A 14,224-nucleotide genomic window follows, 5' to 3' on the forward strand; every position below is an offset into this window, starting at 1 on the left:
TTTTTTGAGATGAAGTCTTGCTTTGTCACCCGGGCTGGAGTACAGTGGCACAATCTTGGCTCACTGCAACCTCTACCTCCTGGGTTCACGTGATTCTCCTGCCCCAGCCTCCCAAGTACCTGGGATTATAGGCGTCTGCCACCACACGTAATTTTTTTTTTTTTTTTTTAATAGAGACGGGGTTTCACCATGTTGGCCAAGCTGATCTCAAACTCCTGACCTCAAGTGATCTACCCACCTCGGCCTCCCAAAGTGCAGGGATTACAGGCGTGAGCCACCGCGCCCAGCCTGGCTTTCAATTTTGAAGCAGCTGTGCTGACTGGGGGCCTCTGGTCCCGGTCCTGGGTGCTCTCACTGACTCGGGCTCCGAGGGGCTGGGCACTGCTGGGCCCTCTTGCAGGTGCACAGGCCTGCACCCCCCAAAGGCAGAGCTGGGATCTATGGAAAGAGGTGCAAGAGGCCAACCTTGCCTAGGAGCGAGAAACAGACGTCCCCGGGTCGGGGGGCCCCACTTCCACCGCCTGTATGGTTCTGCAGTCACCCCGAGCCCCTGAGCTGAGAGTCCTGGGGTTCACAAGACTCTGCTGTTCCTCCTGGTCTCGCTTCATTGACCTGTTCATTTGCTTTTGCTCAGCAAAGCGCTGTGGACTCAGTGAATGAAAGGCTCGGGGGCACGATCACACGGCTGTTCGGGGCAGCACCACAGCACAGGCAGGCGAAAGAGCAGGTTCCCCATCAGAAAGGTGTCCGTGTGCGCACCAAAGCCAGGCCCAAGAGGACACTGGGAGCTGCCCGGTACCCACTGACAGGAGGGTGGCCAGGCCGCCATGGTACACTCTGCAGGCATTACACAGCAGTGAGACCAGATTACAACCACCTGTGTCAACAGGCATGACTCACAAACATGACATGCGGAGAAAGAAGCCTGAAACAACATATACTGCCCGATTCCAATGTATGAGCTGTGAGAACAGGCAGAACCACCGACTCCACACACATGAGCTGTGAGAACAGGCAGAACCACCGACTCCACATGCACGAGCTGTAAGAACAGGTAGAACCCGCCAACTCCACACACACGAGCTGTGAGAACAGGCAGAACCCAACTCCACACGCAGGAGCTGTGAGAACAGGCAGAACCACCGACTCCACACGCACGAGCTGTAAGAACAGGCAGAACCCACCGACTCCACATGCAGGAGCTGTGAGAACAGGCAGAACCCGCCCGGGAAGTTTGAGGAGACAGAGCAGCAGCTGCCCAGGGGGAGGTTGAGCCCTGGGGTGGGGTGAAGGGGCCTCGGTGTTCTCATCACACTCTGTATCTGGGGGCTGGTGAAACCAGGTGTTCAGTCTAAGAAGAATCAAACTGTGTACACGTCTGTGTTTTTCTGTATAGACGTTATATTGAAAACAATCTACTAAAAAGGAAAAAGTGAGACTGGGGACAGGGCTTCGCCGCTGGCAAACTGTGTGACCCCAGGAAGCTTCCTCCCCGTCTCTGAGCTTTGGTTTTCTGAGTGGGTGTGAAGGTGATCGGCACCTTAGGATCCTGAGGTGTCACGTGACCGTGAGACACAGGGCTCCGGCCACCAGCGCAGAGCCAGCAGCACACAGAGCCAGGTCCCCCTCCTGCCAAAGGCACACAATGGGCTGCCCAGGAACACAGAGCGTTTTGTCCAGGGCTGGAGGAAACAGAGGGCAGGGAATCCAGGACATCCCTCCCTGGGAAAGGCTGGACTGGGGATGTCCCTTGGGCCCTGGAGCACTCGGGGTTCCTGGCATCCTGTCCCCCTGACACTGCAGCTCCTGCCCATCCACGCTCCCCTGCTAGGTGCAGGAGGCCCGGCTGGTTGCTATGGCAACCGGGTACCAGCGGGATGGGCATGGGGAGGGGGCGGGAAGTAGCCAGGCTCCCGCAGAGGACTTGCAGTGCGCAGGCGACTCCGCGGGTCCCCCACCTCCACCGAGCGCTCAGGGCTTTTGCCAGGGGGGGTCTCCCCGTCTCCCCATCAGCGCCTCCAGCCTGCCCCCTGCAGGCCACCCTCAGCACTGCAGCCCGACAAGCTGGGAAAAATGCCAAGTTGGGGCAGCCCCAGGACCCACCCACCAGGCCCCGCAATCTCCATCGGCCTAGTCTGGCAGGTCCCATGTGGCACTCGTCACACACCCTCCCACTCTGCACTCACTGGTCCCTCCACGGGGCGTGTCCTCAGCCCACTGCTGCCCGCTCTCTCTGTCCTACAACCCGCCCGCCAGATGTCACCTTCTGCACTCCCCCCACCACCGCCGCCCTGCTCCTCTTCCCACCATCACAGCACTGATGGCTCCATAGCACTGGCCATACCGTCTGTCTATCCAAACAGACTGAGGCCAGATATGAGTCATTTCTGTGCTCCCAGCACTGAGTGTGGGGGGGCATCTGCACATGGCTCACAGTGGGTGTTCAATAGAACATTCTAGCATGTAAACAGCTGGACTGCCACCTGCTCCCGTGGGACTCAGGCTTCCCTCACTGACCTCGACACCCCCAAATTTTCAGCAGATCCTGGATGTGACCCCATCCCCTCTGCTCCAAATTCCTCAGGCCTAGATCCAGGGCTGCGCTTTCTCAGTGGAGGGCTCTCACCTTTAACTTCTGCTCCACCCAAGATGGACCCCTCATCTGCCGTTCCTTTCTCCTCCCCCTACCCCGGCCTATCCAGGGTGCACACAACCCGTCCTCCCACCTCCCTGTCTGCCCTCTTGACCAGAGTCGTGACCTCTCTGGAATCAAAATTCAAAGTACAGCTGAGAGTGTCTCAAATGCACCAAGTCCTCGTTAGAGCCCTGGCTTGCAACAGACTCTGCCTTGGGGAAAAGACCAACATTTGGGGGTGGGAGAAAAGTTCTCTGCAACCTGAACTCCAGCAGAAGCTGAGAGGCCACAGTGGACGGAGGCAGGGGTGGGGTCCACAGCCCTGGGACGACAGAGGGCCTGAGCCTCCGAGTTCCGGTTCCCATGGGTGAGAGGAGTCCCTCCCCCAGAACTGTGCAGAGGTGAGAGGAGCCTGTGCCCGCCATGAGGGTCACGGGCAGTGAGGATCCTGAGGCACCATCCACCCCCCTGCCAAGGGCACTCATATGGTCACACTAACCCCAAACATCCCAGCCTCCCAGGTGTCCAGAATGGGAGGGCCCTCACCTTTCGGGGCACCTGCCCTGATCCCCTTTTACCCCAGAGAGGAGATGACCTGGCAGTGTCATATGGTAAACCAGGGAAAAACAAGACTGGCCTTGAAAGCTGGTCTCTCGATTGTACACCCAGACAGGGCGGGCGTGGCAGCAGGTTCTGAGGAGCCCTGAGCCAGCTCCAGAAGGTTCTTACTCGGGGATCCCATCACCAGTCAGGCCTCCTCTTCATCCCTCCCAGAAAGCATTCCCTGCCTGCCCGAGTGTGGCTCTAGTCCCTGCACACCCTGCCTGCCCGAGTGTGGCTCTAGTCCCTGCACACCCGCCACTGAAACTGCTGCGCCAAGGCCGCCACCCCTCCCTGGTACCGAATCCAATGGGCCCTTCAGACACTGCACCCCACTGGCTGCACCCACGTCTCCAGACCTCCCCTCTTGGGGTGCCCTCCCCTCTCCTGGCTCTTCCCCCACCTCTCTGGCCAGTTGTTCATGGTCTCCTGCTGGTCCCTCCAAAGTGGGGCTAGCTCAGGGCTCGGGGCCAGCATGCAGGCACCCAGGCCCTTCCACTTGCAGAAAATCCATCCCGCGTGTGTTCAGGCTCAGAAAATGGGCCCAAGGCAAGACCAGGCTCCAAGTAATCCCTGCATGAGCCTCTGCCAGCAAACCATGGCCCCGGAGTTACAGAGCCAGGCAGGCTGCAAGTTCCAGACCTAGCTACACGGCCCTCTCATTTCTTGTTTTTGAAGGAAAACAAAAGCGTTTCCATGTCTGGCATATGGAGTTGATTAAACATTTTACGAACAGCAAAAGCTTGTGAAAAACAGAGAAGGAAGCATGCAAAATGTATTTTATTAGCTCCTCCCACACTGCGATTTAGTGGATGAAATACGTTAGGCGAATCACTTCATCTCCGAGCCCTCCGTTTCCTCATCTGTAAAAGGGGTAAGAACACCCACCCTGTCGAGTTGTTGGGACTTCACAAGGAGGCTAAGAAGAAGAGAGCTCAGCACTGTGTCTAGATGATGGCGAGGGCTCAGTAAGTGGAAGGCACCGTCATCATCACCACCACTGAGTCAGGTCACCCTGCCATGGCCAAGGGAGGGCCCTGGGCTCTGGAGTCCGACCTTTGCTCTACCATCTACTGACTAATTATAAGAGGCCAGCCGAGTTAGCTGTCTCTGATCTGTTTCCTCAAAGCTACGACGGTGACGGCAATCACTGCCCTTCAGGGTCACAGTGAAGATGAATGACAATGTGTACAGACACCCAGCACATCCAGATTTGCACATGAGACTGTCTACACAGTTCCTGGAATACAGTAGGTGCTCAATAAATATCACTCACCCTCTTTGATATGCATGAGCACTGTAGGAAAGCCCACATGTACACCGAGAGCAGACACCACAGGGATGCTTGGGGCACAGACGCAGGGGCAGGGGCCGGGGGTCACTCACCTTCCTCCCGTCTGCACCGCTTTCGCTGCCGGAGTACGCCAGCTTCCGGCGCACATAGAAAAGCATGTCGTCCTGCCGGGGAGCCCATTTCTCCATGAAGTAGGTGGAGAACATCCAAGTCCAGAAGACGATGCGGTCATCCTTGAAGCACCCTGCAGAGGGAGGCCAGACAGGAGTGAGGAAGGACGGCCACCCTGGCCCTTGCAGCATGGCCTTGGCCAAGCTGCGCCCATACCCCCACATTTCTGGCCAGAAATTTGCGAGGGCTCTGAGATGCGCCACCCTTCCCTCACCACTCCCGACCCCCACCCATGGAGCATCCAGAGAGGCTGGAGGACACCTCCCAGGAGGCCCAGTTCCTCCACTCAGCAGCAGCCTGAGAGCCCATGCTCCCAGCCCCACAGCTGAGCCTGACTCCAGCCTGGGGATGAATCAGCAGCTTCGGAGGAAAAGGAAAATCCCGAGGAGCCAGGAACGCCACTGGCTGGCTGGTGTCTGGGCTGGAAGCCGGGAAGGCTTGGCTGGGGGGGAGCCTTTGGAGAGGCAGGGCTCTCACCAACATCTCTCACCCCCACCCACTCCCCCTGGCTGCGGCAGTCCCAGCGGGAACCCGACTTAAAGGGACAGCCGCCCTCCAGCCAGCCAAGGCTGCAAGCGGGAACCGCAGGGAGACAGCACCCGCCCCACCCCTGCCCCACGTCTGCGCAGCTTCGTGCTCATCTGATCCTCACAGGGACTTCTCCTTCTATTACAAATGGTATTTCTTTATGATAAATATTTGTAATATTTTCCTGCAAAAGAGAAAAAGCCCACAGGCTTTGGTAGGGAAGATCTGGGTTTCCATTCCAGCGCTGCCGCTGGTGATGGGACAATGGGCGGGGGCTCTGAGCCACAGGTTCCTCGGGGCACATGCAGACAAACCGAGACCACGGGCACACAGCAGGATCAACATAGGTGGGTCTGTCCCCTCTCTAGACAGATTCAACACTTCAAAATATGCAGCCAAGCTCTCTCTTATCAACTCAGTAGATTAAACCGGGTCTGCTTTTGTTTTCTGTCTTCCTCACTGACCAGTGCAATCTAGTGCTGGTACTCGGGCTGGAAGGCACTAATCCCGACACTTAGAGATGGGGAACGTGAGGGCCAGTGGTGCCAGAACCCTCTCTCGCGCTCACAGGCAGGCCAGTGGGCTGACCAGGACTCGGCCACTAGCTGAGTCAAATGCAGAACACCCCAGCCTTGGTTGACGTCAGCCACAACACTAACCAAAGAACCAGGACTCACAGCCAGCCCCAGCCCTCGGCCCTCAGCCCTCAGCCCTCTGCCCTCTGCCCTCAGCCCTCTGCCCAACAGTGTGTTGCTCACCCACTCCCATGCCCTGCCTGGCTCCTGGGCTCTAGGGCAGTGAGAGGGAGGAAAAGAGAAGGAGGCTTCATCGGTGAGGGTCTGGGTCAGCGAGCCTTGTCAGCCTCCAGGGGTGAGGGCCAGGAGAGCCCACGGGACTGGCAAGACCTCCCAGGCTCACAGGACCCGGGGGAACGAAACACGCGTGCTGTCTGCAGAGTCGCTTTGAAATTCCTGCCGCGTTTTTGCAACAGGCAAAGCCCAAGTCACGCTACTACAGACCCTTGCAAAATTAAGCAAAGCGCTGTGATTATTCCTGGATAAACTTCAATTCTTTTTTACTTCCTCTTTACATTGCTTCACTTTTGGTTCCCTCTTAGAGCCCAACGGAATAACAGAATAAATTTGGTCTTTAAAAACCAGCCCTTGGCTGGGTGTGGTGGCTCATGCCTGTCATCCCAGTACTTTGGGAGGCTGGGGTGGGTGGATCACCTGAGGTCAGGAGTTCAAGACCAGCCTGGCCAATATGGTGAAACCCTGTATCTAGTAAAAACACAAAAATTAGCCAGGCATGGTGGCGGGTGCCTGTAATCCCAGCTACTCGAGAGGCTGAGGTGGGAAGATCACTTGAACCTGGGAGGCAAGAGGTTGCAGTGAGCCGAGATCGCACCATTGCACTCCAGCCTGGGTGACAGAGCAAGACTCCATCTCGGAAATAAATAAATAAATAAGCCAGGCATGGTGGCAGGCGCCTGTAGTCCCAGCTACTCTAGAGGCTAAGGCAGGAGAATCACTTGAGCCCGGGAGGCAGAGGTTGCAGTGAACCAAGATCGTGCCACTGCACTCCAGCCTGGGCAACAGAACGAGACTCTGTCTCAACAAACAAACAAACAAACAAAACAGCCCTTAAGAAAACTGCCAGATTCTCACAGAGTTATACATATACTTACAAAACCAGCCACTAGCCACTCCTAGGTACCTGCCCAAGAGAAATGAAGCACATGTCCACAGAGACTGGTACACAAATGTTCACAGCATCTTTATTCGTAACGGCCACAAACTGGAAACCAGGAGAATGCACACATGTCACAATAAAAACAAACTAGTGATCCACACTACACTGTGGATAAACCTCAAACTTGTCCTGCAGAGCAAAAGAAGTCAGGCGCAAAAAGCTATTTACTGTATGATCACATTCACACGATGTTTCGGAAAAGGCGGAATCGTAGTGACTTAAAGCAGGAGGGTGGTTGCCCTGAAAGGTTCTAGATCTTGATTGTGACGCTGGTTTCACAGGTGCGTATAACCATCAAAACTCATCAAACTTAGCCGGGTGAGGTAGCTCATACCTGTAATCCCAGCACTTTGGGAGGCCAAGGCGGAAAGACTGCTTTAGGCCAGGAGTTCAAGGTCAGCCTGGGCAACACAGTGAGACCTGGTCTCTAAAAAAAAAATAAAAATTAGCTGGGCATGATGGCATGTGGCTATGGTCCCAGCTACCAGGGAGGCTGAGGTGGGAGGATCACTTGAGCCCAGGAGTTCGAGGCTGCAGTCAGCTATGATCGAACCACTGCACTCCTGCCTGGGGGACAAAGTGAGACCCTGTCTCTAAAAGGGTATTAAAAAATAAAATTTAGGCCAGGTGCAGTGGCTCACACCTGTAATTCCAGCACTTTAGGAGGCTGTGGCCGGCAGATCACTGGAGGTCAGGAGTTCAAGACCAGCCTGAGCAACATGGTGAAACCCCATGTCTATTAAAAATACAAAACTTAGGTGGGTGTGGTGGTGCTCACCTGTAGTCCCAGCTACTCGGGAGGCTGAGGCACTAGAATCACTTGAACCCGGGAGGCAGAGGCTGCAGTGAGTCGAGATTGTGCCACTGCACTCCGGCCTGGGAGACAGAGCGAGACCCTGTCTCAAAAAATTAATTAATTTAAAAAACATAAAAACTTATCAAACTGTTTAGTCTACATATATGCAGTTTATTTTACATAAACCATATGCCAATAAAATTGTTAAGTTGTAGCTAATGCTGGCAAGGGTGCATTGAACTGGAACTCTCCGATATGCTAGAGAACAAAACATGTGAGAAGCTAAAGAGCATTTTCTCACTCCTATGCATCTACCTGACGGCAGAGTACAAAATTAAAGGCCTTCTGCACAAAAACATTTCGTGTGTTACTCATGAGAAAAAATAATATAACAGCAATAACCACAATGAAGACGACGAAAGGAAAGGACACAATATCCTGCCATTTCTGACATTTCCCCGAGGTAAAGCATGCCATACGGATTCAACCAAATCGCCACCAATCTTTTTAAACGATGGCTATAAAGACTACACACAGATGCATGGGAATACGTGTAATACGATGTTTAGTGGAAAAGCGGAACCCCAAGTTGTAGACACAATGATGACAACTACGTAAATCACATGGAAACACCAGAGGTAAACAGACGAGAACGCTAGGAGTGGAAGAATTGAACACAGCATTTTTTTTTACTTAATATTTTCAGTCATAAGATTATAATACTTTCTCCCATGAATGTACAACTTTTAATATCATAGGACTCATTAAGAAAGGGAACGGGGAGGCGGGTGCCTGTAGTCCCAGCTACTCGGGAGGCTGAGGCAGGAGAATGGCGTGAACCCGGGAGGCGGAGCCTGCAGTGAGCCGAGATCGCGCCACTGCTCTCCAGCCTGGGCGACAGAGCGAGACTCCGTCTCAAAAAAAAAACAAAAGAAAGGGAGCAGGGAGAGTGGAGAGAAAAGAGATTCTCTCTCTTCAGAGGGAGGAAGGGAGGCAAACACAGACACACTCCACATCCAAGAGCCAGGAAAGGTCGGGACTGGAGGGATATCTCTGATTCCCGGAGGCACAGTACAGTGTTAGGAGTTGCAGTCAAACATATGTGTGCTCAGGTCCTGACGCCACCCTTCCCTACTCAGATGGCCAATTCATTCAGCCAACCTCTCTGACCCTCAGTGGTTCTACCTGTCAGATGGGTCTCTAACCTGCCACCCTCCCAGAATCCAAGGTGAGGACTTGGCTGAAAGTGAAAGTGCTCTGCTGGCTGCACGGCTCCAGCTGCTGCAATGTGGGCTGCTGGAGACCCTCTGCTCTGCTGCCCTGCATGTCAGAAACACTGACACCGAGCACGGCAGTGTGGCCTGCTTGGATGACGTCAGTGGATCCCAAACCTTCCAGTATCCTTTGGCCTCACGGTGCAGCAACTGGCTGTGAATAAACACACGAGGCACAGCTGGCCTGTGAAGTCACTGCTGACTCTTTCTCCCACAAGCAAACCCCTTCTCCCTTCACCCTTTCCCAGGGGCTGCCGAGCAAGAAATCCCCTGGGTCACAAGCCCCGGGAGCTGCTAGTCCAGCACAGAGCCTCGTCGTCTCCAGACTCCTCTCTGTCCCTTCTCCCTACCGTCTTGCCAGTCAGGGCTGCAGGTTTTCCCCACCCTCAAGCAGAGTGGAGACTTACGGAAGCAGATGTGGCCCCGAAAGCTGAGCCAGGCTTACGGTGGTAGCACCTCGGACAGCTCTGTGCTCACGGCCCTGCCTTCCCTCCCTTCCCTCCCGGGGTCCTATGAAGCCAGATTATAATCCATTCTCCTGATTTGAGGCAGCCGTGAACACTGAATTAGTCAGTACCGACCCACTGGGTCCTAAGGCAAATACAAGGTTAGGGTCCTCTGATCACATTTTCAGCAACTGATCAATTCATAACCTTACTTTATGTATGTTTCTCTTTCAAGACACTTTATTTAAGGCCAGATGCGGCGGTTCATGCCTGTAATCCCAGCACCTTGGAACGCTAAGGCAGGTAGAATACTTGAGGTCAGGAGTTCAAGACCAGCCTAGCCAACATCGCAAAACCCCATCTCTACTAAAAATACAAAAATTAGCCGGGCATGGTGGCGGGCGCCTGTAATCCCAGCTATTTGGGAGGCTAAGGCAGAAGAATCGCTTGAACCCGGGAGGCGGAAGTTGCAGTGAGCTAAAATCACGCCACTGCACTCTAGCCTGGGAGACAGAGCAAGACCCCGTCTCAAAAAAAAAAAAAAAAAAAAAAAAAAAAGACACCATATTTAACATATAGTTCATTCACTAACACTGAACTCATGGCCAACAACAATCAATGTTGAACGAAGCTTCTCTAACACATGTATTTTCTCCATAAAGTACATCACAGCCATCTTGTGCCTGGGACTAGATAGCATCTCAGCCCAGGGCCATTTTAAAGCACTGACAAAAAGCACAAAAAATGCAAAATACATGGCACTAACTAGACTGCAAAAAGGACACTTCTTTACAGTGTGAGACGGAGCATCGCCTTGTCTGACCTCAGCTGGAAACCTGTGTCAGGTAAGGAATTTTTCGACACTGCATGAATGTCAGTCATTAACCCGAAAGTGCCATGAGTACTGATTTTAGGGTTACAAATAAATTTCAGTGAGTAGGTGAATCCGTGAATAATGACAATGGCCTGGACCAGGAAAACTGATATTTGCCAGGAGTTCTGGTGATCCAGCTGTCTCCCCTGCCTCAAGCGAGTGACCTGCTTCTGTAAGTCACTCTCTTCGAACTCCAGAACTGGAAGAGCCCTTTCCAGGTGAGTGACTCCAGGGACTAGCAGGGGAGAGGGCGCGTGGGAAGTGAGCACTAAGCCTGGGCCGTCCACACCCCAGTGCGGTGTCTGCCACCTCTGAATTGCCACTAACTCTCCTCCTGGTTCTGCACGACGCTGGACTGGTGGCATGACAGCACCAAGAGCTCAACAGTGCTGGTTTCAGGAGCGAGGAACGTGATGACAGCTCGCGCGTGCCCTGCACCCTACAGTGTGTTTATTTATTCATTTATTTTTGAGACAGAGTTTTGTTCTTGTCGCTCAGGCTGGAGTGCAATGGCACGATCTCGGCTCACTGCAACCTCAGCCTCCCAGGTTCAGGTGATTCTCCCATCTCAGCCTCCCAAGTAGGTGTGATTACAGGCATGCACCATCACACCCAGCTAATTTTTTTGATTTTTTTTTTTTTTTTTTTTTTTTTTTTTTAGTAGAGACAGGGTTTCACCATGTTGGCCAGGCTGGTCTCAAACTCCTGACCTCAGGTGATCCACCTGCCTCAGCCTCCCAAAGTGCTGGGATTACAGGTGTGAGCCACTACGCTCGGCCACCCTACAGTTTATAAAGCCCTTTCACCCATTGTCTTTTCAGATCCTCATGGCAACTTTATGAGGTGGGGACCACCTCAGCTTAGTTTCAAACCTCAGTCTTCATTTTCAACCAAAACTTGAGACTCTAGTGGCTAGATGGTGTGTGCAGGAGCTGAGACACAAACCCAGCCCCTCCAACAGAGCCCATATCCTTCTCCTGGATAAGCCCACATCCTTATCCTTAGCCTGGCCCTGCAGGAGGATTCTCCCAGCTATGTTACAAATGCAGAAACTAAGCGAACCCGGGGGTCACCTGGTGAACAGCTAGGAAAGCAATTCAGGCTTTCAGACCTCTCCCCTCCCCCAACTTCTGAGTCCCCAGCGGGGTGGGCTCACAGGGGCCACTCTGAGCCCTGAAGCACCATCAGGGCTTCCTGGGATAGTCTAAGAACCCGTGAAAGAACTTCAGACAAGAGCTTCATGCACAGGGGCTGTGGGATCCACTTTCCAGCCGAGTGCCAATTTAACATAATTTAATTATTTTCCATGGGGATGGTTCTTCAGATGCACACTGAAAAGGGAAACTTTTATCTTTCGAGGCATTTCACGTGAATCCAATCACAATATGGGATGGGGGAAGACTGTCAGATTGGAGTTCAAGAGCAGACTTGATTCCCATTTGTGATGCACTGCCCACGTGGGTAAGTGACTGAACCTCTCAGACCTTCAGTTTCCTCATCAGTAAAATCAGAACAGCTGCCTCCTACGGTTACCATGGAGACCAAATGAGCTCCTACACAGTGCTCAGCAGTGCAACACGCACTTAGAAACGATGAATGACAACTGCCACTGTGGTTACTATGATAACTTGGAACATTTTCCACTAACCAGACCCTGGGAATAATCGCGAATTACTTTAGGAGGCATTCCTTGAAACCCACCCCAATCCTTTTTTAGAAAAGGATTAAACCATTAAACCACACAAGCAAGTTATGGTAAAGCCCTGATTAAAATAGTTTATAGCCATTAAAAATGATGGTTCTGTATTAAATAAAGAAAAATGTCCAAGAACTATCTCCCAAAAAAGTACATTAACACAGCAGGCCAAGAGGTGATTGTTTTTTTTTTTTTTTTTTTTTTTTTTTTTAAGATGGAGTCTCAGTGTCACCCAGGCTGGAATAACATCATGTGATCTCGGCTCACTGCAACCTCCATTTCCTGGGCTCAAGCCATCCTCCTGTTTCAGCCTCCTGAGTAGCTGGAACCACAGACATGCACCACCAGACCCAGCTAATTTTTGTATTTTTGGTAGAGACAGGTTTCACCATGTTGCCCAGGCTGGTCTTGAGTGCCTGAGCTCAAGCAATCCGCCTGCTTGGCCTCCCAAAGTGCTGGGATTACAGGTGTGAACCACTGCGCCCAGCCCAAGAAGTGATTTTGGGAAGGCAATCCTATCAGATTTTCAGGAAACAGACAGCTAGCTTCAGGGCTACTCACACAACTTCAGAGCCTAAGAAACATGCCAATTCTTTTTCACAAGGAGGCACAGTATTGATTTCGAAGACCACACACACAGAAAATTACAGGCTAATCTCACAGATGTCAAGACAAAAATCTTAAAAATAGTATTTAAAAGAATCCAGCAACTTATTAAAAATATATGCCATTGGCCAAGCAGAATTTAACTGGGAATAAAGAATGGTCTAGGCCAAGCTCAGAGGCTCACGTCTGTAATCCTAGCACTTTGGGAGGCCGAGGCAGGAGGATTACCTGAGGTCAGGAGTTCAAGACCAGCCTGGCAAACATGGTAAAACCCCGTCTCTACTAAAAATACAAAAAAATTAGCCGGGTGCGGTGGCAGGTGCCTATAATTCCAGCTACTCAGGAGGTTAAAGCAGGAGAATTGCTTGAATCCAGGAGGCGGAGGTTGCAGTGATCGAGATCGGGCCACTCCAGCCTGGCGACAGAGACTCAGTCTCCAAAAAAAAAAGGTTCAATATTAGAAAATCTATTAATATATTCATATCTATTTAGAGCTCAAAAGAGAAATAACACAGGATTATCTCCACAGATGCTGAAGGAGCATTCAATCAAATTCAACACGCATTCTTGATTTTTATTTATTATTTTATGTTGGGACAGGGTCTATCTATGTCACCCAGGCTGGAGCACAGTGCTATGATCACGACACACTGCAGCCTCGACCTCCAGCCTCAAGCGATCCTCCCACCTTACTTTCCCAAGTAGCTGGGACTACAGGCATGCAATACCATGCCCAGCTGTGTTTTGTATTCTTTGTAGAGGCAGGGTTTCGCCATGTTGCCCAGGCTGGTCTTGAACTCCTGGGCTCAAGCGATCCTCCCACCTAGGCCTTCCTAAGTGCTGGGATTACACGTGTGAGCCACTGTGCCCGGCCCCCCCAACCCCACCCACTTCTCACAAAACACTGCTTCCACCTTGTGCTAAGCGTCCCCATCCTGGCCTGTATCACCATCACTGCCTGCTCACTGGTCTCTGCGTTTCCACCCTGCCCACTGTTAGAACACACATCAGTTCTGGTCACTTTTCAGCTCAAATTCCTCCACCAAGCTTATTTCCTGACCTGCCCCCAGGCTCTTTACTGAACTATCACCTTCTCAGACAGGCCTTCTCAAACCACCTGATTTAAAATTGCAAATCCCACCCTCAATATGCCCTATCCCACTTCCAGCTTGATTTTTCTCCACAGCACTTGTCACTATCGAATATATATTTTGCCTATTCTGTTTACTTTCAGTCTTTCCCTAGCAAAGGAGTCAGCAAATTCCATGAAAGTCCAGAGAGAAAATATCTTCAGCTTTGCAGACCATAGCTGCAAATGGCATGGCAGTACGTAAAGAAATGGCATGCCATGGCGATATGTAAGGAAATGGACATGGCTATGTTCCAATAAAAGTTTCTTTACAAAAACAGGAAACAGTCCGGATTTAGGGTTATAGTTTGCCAACACCTGCCCTACCAAAGCTGATGTATGTTTTCACGCAGATGCCCTACCAGAACTTAAGCTCCATGAACACATCATTAGCTTTGCTCTATGATCATTTTGTTCAATGCT

At 52.0% G+C, this 14,224-nt stretch overlaps 1 protein-coding gene across 2 annotated transcripts in view, besides 3 other annotated features; it reads right to left on the reverse strand.

The window, feature by feature from the left end:
* Positions 1-14,224, reverse strand: part of KIAA0930 — a 48,651-nt gene that overhangs the window by 15,091 nt on the left and 19,336 nt on the right. Inside the window, exons 1-2 of one of the 2 annotated variants that reach the window (NM_015264.2) lie at positions 4,931-5,050; positions 4,622-4,773 (exon numbers count right to left, since the gene is read on the reverse strand). In NM_015264.2, the coding sequence (NP_056079.1) occupies positions 4,622-4,773; positions 4,931-5,009 (231 nt within the window). In that variant the 5' untranslated portion in view covers positions 5,010-5,050. Of the gene's footprint in view, positions 1-4,621; positions 4,774-4,930; positions 5,051-14,224 lie in introns of those variants that run through there. The other variant, NM_001009880.2, reaches the window with a different exon arrangement.
* Positions 3,656-4,156: an enhancer, noted in NCBI's record as "H3K4me1 hESC enhancer chr22:45606871-45607371 (GRCh37/hg19 assembly coordinates)". NCBI's record gives its function as "activates a minimal SCP1, AML or CMV promoter by ChIP-STARR-seq in naive H9 embryonic stem cells {active_cell/tissue: H9 hESC(naive)}" and the evidence as "EXISTENCE:reporter gene assay evidence [ECO:0000049][PMID:30033119]".
* Positions 4,288-4,837: an enhancer, noted in NCBI's record as "H3K27ac-H3K4me1 hESC enhancer chr22:45607503-45608052 (GRCh37/hg19 assembly coordinates)". NCBI's record gives its function as "activates a minimal SCP1, AML or CMV promoter by ChIP-STARR-seq in naive H9 embryonic stem cells {active_cell/tissue: H9 hESC(naive)}" and the evidence as "EXISTENCE:reporter gene assay evidence [ECO:0000049][PMID:30033119]".
* Positions 4,838-5,387: an enhancer, noted in NCBI's record as "H3K27ac-H3K4me1 hESC enhancer chr22:45608053-45608602 (GRCh37/hg19 assembly coordinates)". NCBI's record gives its function as "activates a minimal SCP1, AML or CMV promoter by ChIP-STARR-seq in naive H9 embryonic stem cells {active_cell/tissue: H9 hESC(naive)}" and the evidence as "EXISTENCE:reporter gene assay evidence [ECO:0000049][PMID:30033119]".

The sequence above is a fragment of the Homo sapiens genome, chromosome 22 (genome assembly GCF_000001405.40).
Source record: "Homo sapiens chromosome 22, GRCh38.p14 Primary Assembly".
Lineage (NCBI taxonomy): Eukaryota > Metazoa > Chordata > Mammalia > Primates > Hominidae > Homo > Homo sapiens.